The following is a 19,632-nucleotide window of genomic DNA, read 5'->3' as shown; positions in this document are numbered from 1 at the left end:
AAATTGTCTCTTTTTAGGTTGAGGTTTATCATAGATGCCAGTCCACTCATGCTGCTGCTTCTGCTCTGTAAACAACACACCTGAACACTATTCCTGTTAAAAGGAATTATAGATGTCACAATCTGCAGTATAGCCTTGATGAAATGCCTAATATATGACTCTTAAAAGTTGTTTGTTTTGTTAAGTTCCTAAACCTAGTAGAATAGCACTTATTTTCAAGACAGAATCAGGAGTTCAAGAACAAGTTATTTGAAATGTTTAGAAACAGTGACACTTGGAAAAGGAAAACGTCTAGTGAGTTTGGATGGGATTTGCCCTAAATTTGACCAGAAAATATTTGACATTCCAAGGGAAACTTGCGCAGGATGAATAAGGCCCTACCTCTGATTTCGTCAGTCCTCAGTTGTGGGGTGACTTTGATTACTTGTCTCTCCTTCTTCATGTGTGAAATGGGAAAATGGTTTCTGACTCTGCATCTGACCATCACAGTGGTGACTTATGATCTGTCTTACAGACAGACAAGTGTGTAGTTTGGTTCCCTTACAGGGGCCCAAGCTTTCTGAAGTTTGGAGGTTGAGGAATGTGGATACCTCCTGTATTCTGTTTACCCCTCACACCCTCCCTGATATGGTTTGGCTGTGTCCCCAACTAAATCTCATCTTGAATGAATTGTAGCTCCCATAATCTTTACGTGTCATGGGAGGGACCCGGTGGTAGGTGATTGAATCATGGGGCTGGGTTTTTCCCACACTGTTCTTGTGAGAGTGAAGTCTCATGAGATCTGATGTGATCTCTGAGATCACATGGTGATGGTTTTATAAAAGGGAGTTCCCCTGCACATGCTCTCTTGCCCTCTTGCCTGCTGCCATGTAAGGCGTGCCTTTGCTGCCCCTTTACCTTCCACCACGCCATGATTGTGAGACCTCCACAGTCATGTGGAATGTGAGACAATTAAACTTCTTTCCTTTATAAATTACCCAGTTTCAGGTATGTCTTTATTAGCAGCATGAGAATGGACTAATACACTCCCCTTGCCCTACCCTCATGGTGCTGCTTGCTTTAGAGAGTGGGTTAGTTTATGTGTAGATGGTTCTCACATCATGACTGTGATGGAAGATGGTACATCTTCTTGAGAAGTCTTTGGAAGTGACACATGTTCCAATACTTCCTTCACCCCTTAGCTCTTGGTCACTTTTCTCAGTTGATCAGTACTCTGAAAAGGGTGAACTGGTGGGTGGAGGGGGCTCAAGCTGAACAGATATGGGGGTAGATTTTCACTAATTAGAATATATGTTCTCTGAAAGCTCTAAGAGAATATTGTAACATGTAATAACATAAATGAATAGTAGTAATAATGACAGCTAATACTCTGTACCAGGTACTTTTCTAAGCACTTTACATGTATTTTTAAATTTAATCCTTATAACATCCCCAGGAAGTAGATAGTATTATTTTATCCCCACTTTGCAGATGAGTAAGCTGAGGCCTGAAGGGGTTAAATAAGCAGCTGAAGATCTTGTAGCTTGTAAAAGGTGATACTGTTGTTCAAGCTTAGGCAGCTTGACTCCAGGGTCAGATACTCTTACCACTATGCTACTATAAACTGTGTATTAATATTTAAGAAGAGTAATCTTTTTTTCCCTAATTATCATAATACAGTAGATAATTTGCTCTCCTCAGAGGACATTTAGCAATGTCTGGAGACATTTTTGTCTGCCGCAGTTGGCATGGGAGAAGAAGGATGCAACTGGCATCTGGTGGGTAGAGGTCAGAGACACTGCTAAACATCCTGCAATACATAAGACAGTCTCCCATAACAAGGTATTTGGCCTAAAATAGCAGCAGTGCTGAGGTTGAGAAAACCTGTGATAGTGACATACACTCATTCTAAAAATGTCTAATAGTACTCTCCTGATCCTTCGCTTATGTTAAGTTTATGTATATTCTTCCAGACATTTTTTTCCTGATGATACTAACAAACATTGTTATGCATACATTTTATAGAAACGGAATCAAATGTGTATTCTATAGGTTACCTTTATGACAGTATATTATTTTCATATTTCCATGTCAGAGTGTATTTTGATAACTAGCCGTATAGTATTCCTTTTTTCATGGACACCAAGGACAGTTGGGTTATTTTGTAATTTTAAGTTAGAAACTATATTATGTCTAGATTTACTATACATATATCTTTGCATACTTGCTTCAGGTCTTACTATTTTGGACCAAAACACTAGGTTGCGGCCTTTGGTCAAGGATAGTGTTGTCGTGGTGTCCTCTTTCTCATGCTTTGGCCACAGTGTGTTCACGTGTTTTTTCCATCTTACCGTGCACCTCATTGAGATTGGTGATCATCATATAGCTCCATGACGTTAAGTAAGTAGTGTGTTTTGGGTTGCTAGGGTAGCATGAAAGATTTCAGAAAGAATAGTTGCTGGGAAAAAAGAAAAGCGGGTGTCTAGAATGAGAGAAAGTGTGAGTGAGTAGGTGTGTGTATAGCAGAGGGTGGGGTAGCGGGTGGAAGGAGATAAAAAAACTATAGTACTAATATGTGTAGGGTGATATCTGGACCCATCAATTTGAATTTTAGAGACATTTATCAAGGAAAATGAGATGACTAATTGCACATTTTCTATGCCAATTATTGCAACTGAGGAATTAATTTTTGTATTAAGCTGTTCCTGCAATTGCTATAAAGAAATACCTGAGGCTGGGTAGTTCATAAAGAAAGAGGTCTGTTTGGCTCATGGTTTTGCAGGCTATACAGGAAACGTAGCTCTGGTATCAGCTTTTGGGGAGGCCTCAGGCCTTTCGATCATGGCAGAAGACGAAGTGGGAGCAGGCGCTTCACATGGTGAAAGCAGGAGCAAGAGAGTGAGGTGGAGGGAGGCGCCATACACTTTTGACCAGATCTCCTGTGACACAGTGAGAGCTCACTCATCACCAAGGGGACGGCCCAAGCAATTCATAAGGGTTCTGCCCCAGTGATCCAAAGACCTCCCACCAGGCGCCACCTCCAATATTGGGGATTATATTAATATTTCAACATGAGATTTGAGTGGGGATAAATATATAAACTATATCAATTATTATATGTAAAATAAATACTTTTAAAACTATTTAATATACCAATTGTCTTCAGTCATACTCTGAGGATTCCTGGGACTTGTAGATCCCCTCCAAGAATCAGGTTCAGTGCTAGCCATACAGTCGGTGCTCAATAAACATTTGTAACCAGATTGAATTGAGAGGAAAAGGAGAGTAGAAGAGTATGGGCTGAGAGGTCACTAGAGAGAAGCCCTAGGGACTTCTATACATAAACTGACTTGAGGGAAAGCTCCCCTTTGAAAAAGGGGTAGGCTCCAATCCCATCCAGGTTGCTGTGAATGCCGTTAATTCATTCTTTTATGGCTGAGTAGTATTCCATTGTGTGTGTGTGTGTGTGTGTGTGTGTGTGTGTGTGTATCACAGTTTCTTTATTCACTTGTTGATTGGTGGGCATTTGGGTTGGTTCCACATTTTTGCAATTGTGAATTATGCTGCTATAAACATGTGTGTGCAAGTATCTTTTTCATGTAATGACTTCCTCTGGGTAGATACCCAGTAGTGGGATTGCTGGATCAAGTGGTAGTTCTACTTTTAGTTCCTTAGGGAATCTCCACGCTCTTTCCATTATTCTAAGTGAAGTAACTCAGGAATGGAAAACCAAACAACATATGTTCTCACTTATAAGTGGGAGCTAAGCTATGAGGATGCAAAGGCATAAGAATGGCACAACGGACTTTGGGGACTCAGGGGAAGTGATAAAAGACTACAAATTGGGTTCAGTGTATACTGCTTAGGAGATGGGTGCACCAAAATCTCACAAATCACCACCAAAGCACTTACACATGTAACCAAATACCACCTGTTCCTCAGAAACCTATGGAAATAAAAAGTTAAAAAATAAATACATAATTTTTTTTAAAAAAAAAAAGGAAGAAAAGAGGGTAGGAAATGGCAGGGGCCTTCTCCTGTTTAAGGCTTGTGTTTGCCTCTACTAAAGCTGTGCACATGTGTATTCTAGGACTCAGCTGTTCCACTCCACCATGTACTGTCGGCAGAAATGCGTACATATATTTGCCAAAAGCCACAAACTCTTTTAAGAATATTGATAGAAGCAGTACTATTCATAATAGCCCCAAACTGGAAACTACCCAAATACCCATTAGTAGTAGAATGGACAAACAAATCATGTTTTTTTTTTTTTTTAAATCACTAATGATGAAATATTTTAAGACACAAAAGGGTATGAGAAGAAAAGTCATTCATGGAGGTTAACATATTGCTATATTTTGTCATTCTTTTAAGCTTTTTTATTTTTATTTTTTAATTTAAGAACTAGAACCTTCTGGTGGTGGTGCTTAGTGTTGGGGACAGGGTAGAGTTGGAAGAATGATCTGAGGATCCTCCTGAAACACAAGTGTGGGCTGACCTGAGCTTTCACTGCAGCTCCTCCCTTGACACTGAATGAATTACCTGTCATGGGCACCTAAACCTGCACAGCCCAGTCAGTGAGAACAGCCCCCAGAGGAACTTCTACAGCGCCACAAATGAAATAGAAAGAAGCCATGCCTCTTCACTCCCCTGTTCTCTGTAAAATAAAACACCTTGCTATAGTGTCATTTAAGGACCTAATGCCTTCTTTTGTTGAAATATTTTAAAAATTGGGTTTTCCCATCAAATTGTGATTGAGATATCATGAATGTTCTGATTGTGTTGATGTGAAAAGAGAATGAACAAGAATGGGGCTTGGTGTTTTCAGTGATTGCTGTAATTGTTAGCAGGGACATATTCTCCCTTAACTTCTACTCAGACAAGCTCAAAAGGATGAAAACAATCAAAGAGTAACATTGTTGTGGGGATAACCTTGAGTCACTTTCTTTTGTATTTGTATTTGTATTAGAAGAATCATTTGCAGGCCAGGTGCAGTAGCTTACACCTGTAATCCCAGCACCTTGGGAGGCCAAGTTGGGCAGGGATCACTGGAGCCCAGTAGTTCAAGACCAGCCTGGGCAACATGGCAAAACCCCATCTCTACAAAAAAATACAAAAAATTTAGCTGGGCATTGTGGCGCACACCTGTGGTCCCAGGTACTTGGGATGGTGAGGCGGGAGGATCACTTGAGCTGAGGAGGTCAAGGCTGCAGTGAGCCATGACCGTGCCACTGTTCTCCAGCCTAGGGGACAGGGTGAGACCCTGTCTCAAAAAGAATCATTTGCAACATCTGTTCTTTAGCTAGTATTAGCAACAATGATTAGTTTTTGTGGCTCTCCTTGTGACTGAGTGTCATGGGGCCATAGTGAGACTGGTTCCCTTTACTGAGTGCTTGCTGAGTCATTAACCTCAGTTGCTAAGGGCATAGTCATAAGTCCTGTATGCGTATTATATTTCCTCCTTGTAATAACCCAAGATATAGGTGCTGTTACTATCTGTATCCCCACATGAGAAAACAGGCTTGGGGAAAGAGGTTAAATAAGTTGCCTAGGGTCACACCGTGAACAGCAGAGCCATGATTCAAATCTCATTTTGACTGGCTCCAAAGCCTGTGTTCCTAACTAAACCACTCACTAAATGAGGACTCCTGACTGTTGTTATTTTGGTTAACAGAACCATAAAGTAGGAGTTAAGGTTCTAGTTACTGTTTGCTGAGCATTTTCCAATCTTACCTCACTTGACCTCTGTATTCTGAGTTAGGTGAGGCAGGTGGGTGTGCTCCCATTTCACAGACAAGGACTAGGAGGGTCCAGACAAGTAGTGAACTTGCCCAGGGTCACCCAGCTAATGTTGGGTTGGAAGTTGAATCGGGGTCTTTTGAAAATACACCCCATTTTTTCTTCTGTGCTTCAGCTTGATCTCTGACCACCATGGTTGACCTTTAGCCTCACATTTAATTGTAGGGTTAACTCTGTTTCCTCATCTTTTAAATAGGAGCAGCACTACCTGTCTCACTTGTTAGAGATTATAGAGGATTGGCTAGCCATGCACTTTTTAAAAATTCTTACAGAGGCCGGGTGTGGTGGCTCACTCCTGTAATCCCAGCACTTTGGGAGGCCGAGGCGGGCGGATCACAAGGTCAGGAGATCGAGACCATCCTGGCTAACAGAGTGAAACCCTGTCTCTAGTAAAAATACAAAAAATTCGCTGGGCTTGCTGGCACGTGCCTGTAGTCCCAGCTACTCGGGAAGCTGAGGCAGGAGAATCGGTTGAACCTGGGAGGCGGAGGTTGCAGTGAGCCAAGATTGCAACCCCTGCACTCCAGCCTGGGCGACAGAGCGAGACTCCATCTCAAAAAAAAAAAAAAAATTCTTATAGATATACACCATTTAAATACATATGTATTTGTTTGCTGTGAGGCTTTATGATATGAAGTAATACTTTTTTTGTTAAAGATTTATTTACATATAAGTCTTTATTTTGGTATTCTGGCAAATGTATTTGTTTGGTAATCCAAATGGAAGTTGAAGACATTGAGATTTTTGCTGCATGTACTGAGTTGATATTTTTCTAGAGTTGATGTTAGTAGCTAACATCAGCCTGTTCTGGGTTGCTTTGAGGTTGCAGCTGCTCCCTGGTGGTTACCTGTGAAAGGCGCTAACTGGAGACACCCAGAAGGGCCTGACTCTACTATTCTGCACAGGTGAGGCTGGTCCCTCTTTCCCCAGTTGACAAGTTCCATTGCAAAATAGGTACCCTTTGCTCTTGCAAAAGAACTCAGTGGGCATCTTCATCTATAAAATGATAAGAATGACAAACTGTAATTGATTGGTAGGAAAATAAGATGGTGGGAAATAACGTATGTAAAGACCCAAACACTGCACCTTGCTCATAAGAAAGCTCTTAATTAGTGGCCTCTTTCTCTCCTCATTTGGCTTGTCAAAGAGTTGCCTCTTCCCAGTTTCCCTGCTCCTTTTGAGAGGCCTATTCCAAACCTCATGACATGTTTAATCTTTACATTCTGTTTCCATTATTAGCGGGTCTATGAGGAAGAAGACGTCTGTCTTATGGATAAGTAATTGTGTCCTCCCAGGTTGCCACTGTGGAAGCCCAGGCCTTGGGTATAGGATTCACATGATCTTGAGTTCCAGATTGGAATTCTTTGAAGCCACCATCTAACTGGAAAACCACAGAGAGCCAAGTCGGTCAGCAAGTCTCCAGGGTGGCAAGGAAATAATTATCTCAAGCAAAAATAGAGTAACACTTTAAACCCTGGAGATTGAGCAAGGTTTGGGTTAGGACTCAGCATCTCAGCAGCCCAAGAAACCTGCTCTCCTAACCTAATTTTTCAGATGCAGTTTTTAAGTCTCTATTTTTAACAACATTCCTGGTTATTGCCCTTATTGTCGGGGAGCTGCGAGTATAGGAAGTTCAGCTTTAGGGATATAGCCCCTTGACAAATGTCAAACATCTTTCAAAGCCTCAATTGGAAGCCGCTGTGCTGCAATTAGGCTTCGAGGTGGAAAGTCATAGGATTCCTGGGTTTCTCAGGTGGACTTGGCTTCTTAGCTCCCAGTTAATATCTGCTTTCCTGAATTTAGTAACAGAGGAAAATGCTAAGGGAGGAAGGAAAACCCAAAAGGGGAATGTATGTTATCCATGCAGTCAACACCGATGGATCTTCTGAGAAGAGTACCTCTGTTGTCTGTGCTGGAAACAGTGACTGGCACATGATAGGTACTCAGTAGATGTTTGTTGAAAGAATAAATGAAAGGCCTGGTGTAATTACTGTGGGGAATTCAAAGGTGTATAAGGAATGGACTAGGAATTTGTAGCCCACTTTTAAAAAAGTGAGCAGGGAATTCAGCCAAAGCCATCTAGTGCTGGGTGAATGAGTCTATCCCCTTTTTCTCAGTTTTTTTTCCCCAAACTTCCACACCCTTTATACCCTCAGGAAAAAAAGACCGGCCTCTTGTAGAGGAAAAGTAGAAAGACACAGAATTGAAAGCCAAGGGTCACAGGTTGGGTTCTCTGGAAACAGAGGCTGAAACAGAGTTTAGGATGCAGAATGTTAGGGCCCCACACCTGTAGAAAGCAGGGGCCAGAGCAGGACTGGGCAGAGGGAGAAGTCAAAGCCACAATGCAGGTCCAACCAAGCTCCACCCAACACAGGGGCCTCTAGGGTGTATATGGCCCATAGGTTGAGCCACTGTAGGCTGAAATGGCTGGCTCTGTATGCCCCTGCTGTGGTTGGTTAGTCACTGGTTTCTCTGAGATGGCTGTCAGCTCTGCTGAACCCCAAAGGAGCTGAAAGCTCCTGCTGGCCCTCCTAGCAGCTGGAGTATCTCCGCATCTGCCATACCAATGACATTCTGTGGGAATCCGAGCCTACAAAGTGAAGAAATGTTTTGAGTCTAGTTCCCAGTGGAACTGTAACCCATTTGGGAGCCTGGGTTGTCAGAAACCGTTGGTGGAGCATGACAGATGTAGCATGGCTGGGGTTTGACTTAAGGACCAGGATGACCTCAGTGTCACAGATTGAACTGAGGGGGATTATGGGCGCTTTGCTGAAGCCAGCTCCTGCTTCTTGTTCTGATTGGTGTCACTTTTCATTCTACTTTTGCTCTTCCCCAGGCCGGATCATCCAGTTCTCCATGTGTCCTGGAATGATGCGGTTGCCTACTGCACTTGGGCAGGGAAGCGGCTGCCCACGGAAGCTGAGTGGGAATACAGCTGTCGAGGAGGCCTGCATAATAGGTATTTAGAGGATCTCATTTTGCCTGACAATATGTTGGTCATTTGAACAAACAAACAACAACAAAAAACTCCATGGAACTTACTTTGGTTAGAAAGTTAATAACGACAATAATTCTTTTTCTTATTTTTCCACGAAATTACTTAGAAGACACTGGAGAATGGGTCACAAATCTTTTATCACCCCTAAACCAAGTGTCTGGCCAAGTGGGCTCCCTCCAGCCCCAAAGCAAGTCTTAGCAATTCAACCCCCTTGAGTTACATATCACTGCTTAGAACTTCTTGGCAGACTGCCCTGCTTTTAGCATTTTCTTATTTTAGGCATCTCCTGAAGCAGCGGTATGTCTCTGCTTCTAGAGCCATGAGACAGAAAACTCATGTTGGGTTCACATCTTCTAGGAAAGGCTCCTTAAAATAGCCCAGGCTTTATAAAAAAGTGTGGTGTGGTGGTGCCTGATCACACTACCATATAAGTCCAAAATGAGGTCTACTCTCCCAGCTTTCTATAAGTCCTTCTTTTAGTTTTGTGATTTATTTCAGGCCTCCTGAGTACCTGGGCAAGACTGAGGCTGTTGTGGACGTGACATGAGAAGTTATAAGGAAATTGAAAATAAATCCTGATTAAAAGCTTTATTTATTTATATATATATTTTAACTGGCTCACTCAGAACAAGCAAGCAATGTTCTCTTTTTCATTGCATCCCTTCTCTTGACTTTCATCCAAAACCTGTGCCTGTTTGACAGGCTGATGCCTGTGTCTCTTCTGACAGACTTTTCCCCTGGGGCAACAAACTGCAGCCCAAAGGCCAGCATTATGCCAACATTTGGCAGGGCGAGTTTCCGGTGACCAACACTGGTGAGGATGGCTTCCAAGGAACTGCGCCTGTGAGTAATGAGACCTCTGCAGGAGGGTGGCAGCTGCTGAGAACTGAGGCTCCCAGTAGACATGGGGTGAAAGGCATTGCTCACTTTGTGACTCACACGGTGTTCCCTTCGTGTATGCATTCACTGTTGCACGTAGCAAATACTAATAATTAAACAGATTTTCTTTTTGTATAATGGATTTCCCTTTCTGATTCCATAATACTTACTGTAGATTATTTGGAAAAATGAGAAGACTATAAAGGAGAAAGCTAAACTGTCCTGGAATTCTACCACCCAGAAATAATACCTGTTAGCATATTGGTGCATTTCTTCCCCATTTGTTCTCTGTGTTGATGATGCTAATAATGGCGTGTAGTTATTGAGTGCTTGCAATGTGCTGGGCATTGTGCGCCAAGGCATTTGCATGAATTGTCTCATTTACTGTCCATTCAACTCTGTAAGGTAGGTACTATTATCCCCATTTTCCAGGTGAGCATTCTGAGGCACAGAGAGGTTAACTAACTTGCTCAAGGTTACACAGCTGGAAAGCGGCACAGCTGGAATTTGAACCAGGTCGGTTTATTTCCAAAGCCCATGCTCTTAACTACCGTATTTGCCAGCATATGTGTTTCTGGTGTATATGTATCATATTTTTTTACATATTGCATTTAGGTAAGACTGGATACAGTATTTAAAATCCTACTATTTTTTCCTGCCTATATCAGAAACGTTTCATCTGTCATTAGCAGTATGCCACAAATACATTGTCTTTCAGCAGCTGGATAACCTGTCATAAATAAACCCCAATGTATTTACTGGAAACAGGTTATTTCTGTTTTTTTTTTCTACAGTGAACATCTTGTACATAAATATTAACCTACGTCTTTGATGATTTTTGAAAGATAGATTAGATTCCCAGCAGTGAAATAATTCAAAGTCTAGAAAACTTTCTGGGTAAGAGTTTCAGATATATGGCCAAACTGTTTTCCAGAATGCTTGGGGCATGTTTTCCTCTATTGGTGTATAAGAAATCTTTTCTCACCGTTCTTTTGCTGGCATAATCATATACTCATAAAGCCATGTCTTAGTCTTAGTCCCTTTGTGCTACTGTAAGAAAATACTACAGACTGGATAATTTGTAAACAACAGAAATTTATTTCTTGCAATTCTGGAGGCTGGGAAGTCTAAGACCAAGGCAGCAGCATGATTGATGTCGGCTGCATCCACCAGAAGGGACTAATGCTGTGTCCTCCCCTGGCAGAAGGCAGAAGGCGGGCAAAAGAGCACTCACTTCAACCTTGAGCCATTTTATTTACTTATTTATTTATTTATTTTTGAGATGGAGTCTCACTCTGTCACTCAGGCTGTAGTGCAGTGGTGTAATCTTGGCTCACTGCAACCTCTGTCTCCTGGGTTCAACCAATTCTCCCATTTCAACCTCCCGAGTAGCTGGGACTACAGGTGCACACCACCACACCTGGCTAATTTTTGTATTTTTAGTAGAGACAGGGTTTTACCATGTTGGCCAGGCTGGTCTTGAACTCCTGACTTCAGGCGATCCTCCCGCCTCAGCCTCCCAAAGTGTTGGGATTATAGGCATGAGCCACCGCACCTGGCCCTTTGATGATTTTTTAAAGATAGATTCCCAGCAGTGAAATGATTGAGTCAAAGGTTAGAAAACTTTTCTTGGTAAGAGTTTCAGATATATGGTTGAATTATTTTCCAGAACACTTGGGGCATGTTTTCCTTTATGGGTGTACAAGAGTTCCTTTCTCACCATTCTTTTGTTGGCATAATCATATGCTCATTTGAAATGAGCTCCATTCCAAAGACACAGGTGATGGCTTTTGTGGCCCTCATTTGGACAAGACCGTGATAATCATTTCTTTTATTTTTCTGTCTGTTTTTTTTTTTTTTTTTTTGAGATGGAGTCTTACTCTGTTGCCGAGGCTGGAGTGCAGTGGCGTGATCGTGGCTCACTCCAACCTCCGCCTCCTGGGTTCAAGTGATTCTCCTGCCTCAGCCTCCTTAGTAGCTAGGATTATAGCTGTGCACCACAATATCTGACTAACTTTTGTATTTTTAGTAGAGACAGGATTTCGCCATGTTGGCCAGGCTGGTAGGTGATCCTCCCGCCTTGACCTCCCAAAATGCTGGGATTACAGGCATGAGCCACTGCGCCTGGCCTGTGATAAGCATTTTTGATGAACCAAACGAATGATATAAGTGCCTGTTCATTTTAACAAAAGGCCATGACAGGGTTTTCTTGGACAGTTATGCATATTTGACAGCACTTGCAGCTACAGTTTCTTTTCTATTTAATTACATGAGCTACCAAGGAATATAGAGCCATTTACTCTTCTAAAATCAGTGTACCTTTTCAAAAAATACAATGTTCAATATGAAATAAGGACACTCTACAGATGTTTAGAATTGGAATATTTGACTGAAAGTTCAGCATATGTGTGGGAAATTGACCTGAAGAAGTTGCCATGGAAGTTACTAAAACAGATTAGAACATTTACTGGGAGTCCTAAAGGAACCAATTTGACAAACAGGACTAGAGGAGAAAGCAAGCAAGCCAGCCAGAGAGAGACAGCTGCCATCTGTGTTTAGAATGAGTCTTAATGAGATCTCTATCTTATGGCAATCGTTTACACGTAGTATCTCAAGTCCACCTAAGCTGCTCTTTTGTGTCCACATGCTCTGGTCAACTGGAGCAGGAATTTAACTTTGATAATGAGATGGACTACAGGGAAATAGCTCCCTGACCTGATATTTCATGTATTTATTATTTCAGGTCTCATTTTATTTATTTGAGACAGGGTCCTGCTCTGTTGCCCAGGCTGGAGTGCAGTGGCATGATCACAGCTTACTGCAACCTCAGCCTCCTGGGCTCAAGTGATTTTTCCACCCCAGCCTTCCAAGTAGCTGGGACTACAGGTGCACACCATCATGCCCAGCTAATTTAAAAATTTGTTTGGGGCCAGGTGCGGTGGCTCATGCCTGTAATCCCAGCACTTTGGGAGTCTGAGGCAGGTGGATTGCCTGAGCTCAGGATTTTGAGACCAGACTGGGAAACACAGTGAAACCCCGTCTCTACTAAAATACAGAAAAATTAGCCGGGCGTGGCAGCATGCACCTGTAATCCCAGCTACTCAGGAGGCTGAGGCAGGAGAATTGCTTGAACCCAGGAGGCAGAGATTGCAGTGAGCCAAGATCAGGCCACTGCACTCCAGCCTGGGTGACAGAGTGAGACTCTATCTTAAAAAAAAATTTTTTTTTTGTGGAGGTGAGGTCTCATTGTGTTTCCCAGATTGGTCTTGAACTCCTGTCCTCAAGCTATCCTTTTTCCTCAGCCTCCCAAAGTGCTGGGATTACTGGCATGAACCACCACACCCAGCTAGACCTGATTTTATACTGAGCAAACTATTTTGACCACAGTGAGACTAAAGAATTTACATTTTGCCATTCTGCTTGTTACACAATGATTAATTTTGGCTTTAACGCATATCAGCTTATTCATCTGAAAATGTGCCAGGAGTATTCTCATATACATTTGTTTGCTTTTGAGGTTCCTGAGAGGAAGCTTTAGTTAGTAGATTGGTTTAATAGCAGGCAGTTAACATTTTTATTTTCCTTAGTGGCATACTCACCTATGGTAATTTTAGGGGTGGTGACCTCCACATTCTACTTCACTTAAACATCAAATTATTTAAGGTGGGTAAAGAAAAAAATACCCAAACCCTTGAGTAGGTACTATTATTTTTCCCATTTTACAGACAAAATAGCACCCATATAGGTTAAGTTGCTTGCCTAGTGTTAGCTGTTAACTGTTGGTGTCACTGGGTCTGGTGCCTCATGCTTATAATCCCAGCACTTCGGAAGGCTGAGACAAGAGGTTTGTTTGAGCCTAAGAGTTCAAGACCAGCCTGGGCAACATGAGGAGACCCCATGTCTACAAAAAATTCCAAAAATTAGTCGGTTGTGGTGGTGCACACCTGTGGTCCCAGCTACTCGGGAGGCTGAGCTGAGAGGATCGCTTGAGCCTGGGACGTTGAGGTTGCAGTGAGCTGTGATTGCATCACTGTACTCCAGTCTGGGTGACAGAGCAAGACCCTGTCTAAAAAAAAAATAGTATTGATGCACACATAGGACCTCAGGCAGACTGATTTGAGAGCACCTCCACCTGTGCTCTATAAGTCTGGAAAATGATTCCTTCCTCCAGTGTTTGTTTCATCTGTTTTTGTTTGTTTGTTTGAGACGTAATCTCGCTGTGTCACCCAGCCTGGAGTGCAGTGGTGCCATCTTGGCTCACTGCAACCTCTGCCTCCTGGGTTTAGCAATTCTCCTACCTCAGCCTCCTGAGTAGCTGGGATTACAGGCGTGCACCATGCACCTGCCTGGCTAATTTTTTTGGTATTTTTAGTAGAGACAGGGTTTGACCATGTTGGCCAGGCTAGTCTTGAACTCTTGACCCCAGGTGATCTGCTCACCTTGGCCTCCCAAAGTGCTAGGATTACAGGCATGAGCCACGGCACCTGGCCTGTTTCATCTTTTAACCGCACTTGCTCCTCTGGCTCCTTTCCTTGTATTCCTGAAATAACTGAATTTCTTCTTTTCCTTCCTACCTCTCCCAGCTATTACTCTACCATGCTCTTTTTGATCATCTCCAAATTGTTGAAAAAGTTGTTTATGCCTGTGGCCTCTTCGTTCTCTTTTGAACTCTGAGCCCTATTTGAAATCTGCCCAGACAACTCTACTTTTGTAAAGGAGAATGCCTTCAGCCAGAAGCTTCTCTCTCTTGCGAGTTTCTCTGACATTTTATTTCCCTCTCTTACCCTACTCATCCCATTCTGCATTTCAGAGTTGGATTTTGAGTTTTGGGTATATTCTTTTTTTCTCCCTCATTAAACTAGTTGAGGTCATTCATTATTTGTTATTGAAGCCCTCACTGTCTTTAGTCACTGTGCATGGAATTACTGAATGAATCAATGAATAAATACTGCTGTTTCCATAATGATTGCTGATTTTGGAAGCAGTGTGGTGAGAATTTTCAGCTTTCCAACTCATCCAGATTAAGTTCTTTTCACACTAGCTTCGTGACTTTGATTGGAGTGCTCTGAATTGCCCAAGCATCAGATGCTTCCATATTCATGGGTAGATGTGAAACCATCTGAAGCCACAGGGAATGAATTTTAGTTTATTCATTCCTTCCATTCTACTTCATTTAGTCTGGAAAAAGCATGGATTTACAAAAAGATTTTTAAACCCCCAAGGATTACTTGATATACATATATATTTTTTTCATTTTAAAAATGAAATTTTTCTTTATGTTTGAGAATTTCCATTTTAAAATGTTGGGAAAAATGTTAAGCCATTAAGCCAGCAAAACTATTCTGCATTTATTATTGTTCAGTTAAAGTTTTTTTTTTTTTTTTTTCCTCCTGCTCTCCCCCCTTTTATAAAAACTCTGCACTTTGGTCCTGTGTTTGTGACAGTATTATGTGGCAGACTGTCTGACCTGCCTTTGAAATGTATAATTTTCTGCTGAAGAATGCATACTGTTTGCCTCAGACTCAGGTTTCAGAGACTGAAAACCCTGTATTACCAATACACTTGATAATGGATTCACATTTTCTTTATAAAAAGAAATCCCCTTAAGTTTTGAGGCTTAAGGTAAGATGATGAGTTGGCAGAAACTTGTGGAGAGGACAGAGCTAACTGACTTGGGGTCGCTCAGTGCTGAAAGACATTGTGTGGCCAGGAAAGCTGAGCTGTGATGACAAGACTCATATTGGGTCCAATGGGATTTTCCTGTGAATGATTTTGAAAGTCTAAGTATCATCTATCCTCTCCCTACTCACCCAATGTTTGACACAAATTTTTGATTGATGATAATATTAGTAACTCTATTAGGAATAATTTCTCTGACTTTCATACCATTTAATATGAACTCTCTTTAGGTTTCTGAATTCCTCTAAGAGCTCAAAGCCAAAAAAAAAATGCCCCTTTCTTTGTCTTTATGTTGGTCAAATTGTACTTTGACTGTTGGAATAAAACCCAACATTCATACTCTGAAATTAAAGCTCTTGCTGCATTTCTGCACTGAAGATGTTTTTTAAACCAGGTGAATAGTTTGACAGCATTTTTCCTGTCTTTGTTTTTAGGTTGATGCCTTCCCTCCCAATGGTTATGGCTTATACAACATAGTGGGGAACGCATGGGAATGGACTTCAGACTGGTGGACTGTTCATCATTCTGTTGAAGAAACGCTTAACCCAGTGAGTATTATTCACAGAGCATGTGTCTTGGAATGGTGGCATCTGTCCTCTGGGCAGTCTGCAGCCAGGCTGTCATGTGTTTCCGAGGGGTATTTACATACTCTGGAAATTAATCTTGGGATTTCCCTAAAGGCACATTAAGCGCATGTTTCTTATTTCAACCTCAGAGCATTTTGTAAAAATGTCTGTGAGCATGTTATCTTTTCCTGGATTGTGATGGTGATAACTATTTGAGGAAATCTGCCTATAACTTTAGAAATTGTATTCAGTCTCGTAAATTTGATCAAAGCATGCATGATATATAAATAACTATAAAGTTTATTACTGTTTTATTATGAACTATTAAGATCTGCTAGGTGGTATTTATCATGCCTCTAGTTGCCTGAGTTCTGATGGGTTGAAATTTTGATTCAGCAGCATTGTTTGGAGAGAAAGAGAAAGGGTGTTTTCTGGTTAAATGTTGAAGCAGGAAGTTGTGTCATTTAGTGATTAATTCCTGAACCTCTTAGTATGTCAGACCGATGCACCTTATAACTTAGGAACAGAAGGCAACCATGTTTGTCCAAGTTTTACTTATTCTGGCATGTGAAAAATGTTGAATGCAAATAGTATACTACCCTGCCTCTAAAACCAAGCTACCCCAGCAGAATGTATACAAATTGAGACACTACATGGACATGTGTGTGGAAAGTGCTTCCTTTAAAAAGAACATCTCTGAATATTTTTTATGGTGTGAACAGATTGGGGGGGAGAATATCATGCAAAATCCCATCTCTAGCAAAGTAGTCATTCATAAGTCAGTTCCAAGAATGTATATTTATAACCAAACTAGCTAGACTGGTTACTTGATGTGCTTAATTTTAAACCTGAACTTTTTGAAAAGGCTCAAAGGGTAATGATAAAGAAAATTAATTCTTCAATATCTTCTCAATATAGGATTACAGAGCAATTGAAGAAATAGACTCTGCCTGAGGCTCATTTTTCAGAATACGGGAATAAAGTTGTTGGATATGCTTAATTTTTCTTCACAGAATAACACATGGGCTGCTCATGAATAATCTAGAGAAAACAGATCTACTTTTTGAGGGCTGCAGATAAAAAAGCTGAGTTCTTTAGAAGCCGTCATCCCTCCTCAGTTTCTTTTACTTTCCAGCGGGGCTGGTGGAAGTAGTGGTCAAAATGAGAATAAGGTTGTAAAATTCTAGGTGGGTTTGTGGTTGGGAGATGTCATTCTCTACCGGCAAGATGTGACTTGGCATTTGCTGTCAGAATCAGAAATAGAATTTTTTTCATCTCAGATAAAAGCATCTGCATGCTTGGAAGGGGGTGCACAAGGCCTTAGAATGCTGGCAAGTTGTGAATGTATCTATCTGACCATCTGGTGTGGAGCTGAGCGCTTGTTAGCTTTCAGTTTTAGAGCTACTTGTGTTTCTTCTAAGGATTTACAGAAAAATTCACATTTTTCTTTTCACCAATCCCAGGCTTTATCCTGGATGTTGCCCTTGCTCTAATGAAATTGTTCTCATTTTAGGTTTCTCTTTGTCCCAGTGGCCTCCTTTGCTTCCTCATTTGACTGGGATATAATTTAACAGTTTTGAGAACTAAACCCCAAATCCTTAGACAATTCATACTCCATAATTCAGGTCTTTATAGCTTTTCTTCATTGCCAGCAGAAAAGCCATGATCATCCCTCATCTGGGTTACTGCAGCAGCCTCCCAGAGGGCTCCCTGCCTTCCCTCTCTTTGCCACATTGTGACTAGACTGATCTATATAGAGAGCAAGTCACATGAGGTCACTCCCCTGTTTAAAATCCTTTAATGCCTTCTTATTATCCAAAGAATAAAGTGTAAAATATTTTTTAAAAACTTAATTACTTTTATCTTTTTTTTTAATTTTTATTTTTTGAGAGAGTCTCGCTCTATCCCTCAGGCTGGAGTGCAGTGGCGTGATCTCAGCTCACTGCAGCCTCTGCCTCCCGTGTTCAATCGATTCTCATGCCTCAGCCTCCCAAGTAGCTGGGATTACAGGTGCCCCCCAGCTAATTTTTGTATTTTTAGTAGAAACGGGGTTTCGCCATTTTGGCCAGACTGGTCTCAAACACCTGACCTCAGGTGATCTACCCGCCTTGTCCCCCCAAAGTTCTGGGATTACAGGTGTGAGCCACCACGCCAGGTCTTGTTACTTTTATTTTTAATTTTTGTGGAGATGGGGTCTTGCTCTGTTACACAGGCTGGTCTCGAACTCCTCGCCTCAAGCAATCCTCACACCTTGGCCTCCTAAAGTGCTGGGAGTACAGATGTGGGACACTGCACCTGGCTGATTAAGTATAAATTCTTGCACATGACTTCTGAAGGCTAACATAATTTAACCCTTGCTGATCCCTCTAGCCACATCTTTTTTTTCTTTTTTAAACAGTTAATTATGAAGTGTTACAAAAATTCAGAATAGTACAGAAAATAGTGTAATAGATAACTGTGTACCTACTACATAATGTTAACAGTTTACTGTGTTTACTTTCTCTTTTAGCCAAAGAAAAAGAACAAAAACTGTTCTTCTCATCAATGCTTGATATCGTCAATATGTTTTATTTAAGGTGCTCTGGTCAGTGTGCAGGGCTGTTTCACTGTGTTTTTCAGTCATCATTTTTAAACGTTTGTCTGATAACTCTAATATCTGGCCACCATGTTGATCTGTTTCTGTTGTTCTTGGCTTTCAGTCATGTCTTGTTTTCTCACATGCCTGGTTAGTTTTGGCTGACTAGCAGACATTTTATGTGAAAAATTGTGGAGGTTGAGATCTAGATAGTGTGATGTGTCTCTGGAAAGGATTTACCTTTGCTTCTAGAAACTTCTATTTCAGATTAGCTTTAATCTAGTCAGGAATTGAGATGATTTGAAGCAGAGCTTCAGTCCCTGTAATGGCCAGTCTATTTCCAGTTCCCCCTGGGTATAGTTCTTCAGGGTGCCAACCAAAAGTCTAGGGGTTTTACCATAGATCCTCCACCTTGGAGGGCCTTAAACTCCAATTTTTTATATCCTCAGGCCATGAGTCTATTGAAAGTTCTGCTCAGCTTCTCAGCCTTACATCTGCCATTTGAGGCAATAGATCTCTAAGGAAAACAGTTTCACCTCTCTAGGATTTGAGCCCTGCAATTCTTCACAGCTGTGGTAGTTCTCATCTGGTCTGGTTAAGTCCTATTTCTCTTTGAGATCTTAATTTATTTGCTTTTCTTCCCTAATGGACTGTGTATCTCTAGTGCTTAGCAAAGAACCTGTATATAATTATTGACCCTACAATAATACCAATTCCAGATATATGGAATTGGGGGAGTTTGGTGACTGTCCAGACTCCATGTGTTCCATAAGCAGAGGCTGGTTAGAAGAGACATTTTCAGGGAACGTTTACAACCAAAATATCCACGTGGTTAGTAAATATTTCAATTCAGGAACTGACCTCTTCTGTGTTATGTATTTATGTTAGTTCTGTGACTAACTCATAATGGCAAATAATTTTAAAGCTTCTTCAGAGAGCTTGGGAATAGTCAGTGCCCTGTATGCAAAGGCTATTCAGGAAATATATTTTTCTTTTTCAGTGATTTCCAGGGAGCAAAAGTTAATCATTAGTTTTTATTTTATTGGGCAGTCATTTATGGCAAAAGCAGGTTGTGGAAACAGCCATGTGTGCTTTGTACACATCTGAGAGAAGATGAGGTATTTGGCCATGGGAAAAAAAGGTCAGCTTGGTGTTAA

General features: G+C 41.4%; 1 protein-coding gene and 1 pseudogene across 12 annotated transcripts in view, besides 1 other annotated feature; both read left to right on the top strand.

Annotated features, from left to right (window-relative positions):
• The window catches only part of SUMF1 (sulfatase modifying factor 1), a 432,784-nt gene that overhangs the window by 40,523 nt on the left and 372,629 nt on the right, over positions 1 to 19,632 (top strand). For all 12 annotated transcript variants that reach the window (XR_007095664.1, XM_017006254.3, XM_017006253.2 and 9 more), the window contains 4 exons: positions 6,601 to 6,683; positions 8,615 to 8,737; positions 9,505 to 9,619; positions 15,769 to 15,882. Coding sequence is in view for 11 of the 12 variants with exons in the window: in XM_017006254.3 (XP_016861743.1) it covers positions 6,601 to 6,683; positions 8,615 to 8,737; positions 9,505 to 9,619; positions 15,769 to 15,882 (435 nt within the window). In the remaining variant the exon portion in view is untranslated. The remainder of the gene's footprint in view (positions 1 to 6,600; positions 6,684 to 8,614; positions 8,738 to 9,504; positions 9,620 to 15,768; positions 15,883 to 19,632) is intronic.
• Positions 5,383 to 5,432: a silencer, noted in NCBI's record as "silent region_14015". NCBI's record gives its function as "represses an Ori minimal core promoter by ATAC-STARR-seq in GM12878 lymphoblastoid cells {active_cell/tissue: GM12878}" and the evidence as "EXISTENCE:reporter gene assay evidence [ECO:0000049][PMID:35858748]".
• Positions 11,784 to 12,187, top strand: MRPS10P2 (mitochondrial ribosomal protein S10 pseudogene 2; annotated as a pseudogene).

Source organism: Homo sapiens, chromosome 3 (assembly GCF_000001405.40).
Source record: "Homo sapiens chromosome 3, GRCh38.p14 Primary Assembly".
Lineage (NCBI taxonomy): Eukaryota > Metazoa > Chordata > Mammalia > Primates > Hominidae > Homo > Homo sapiens.
This window is presented reverse-complemented; position numbering and strand designations above follow the sequence as displayed.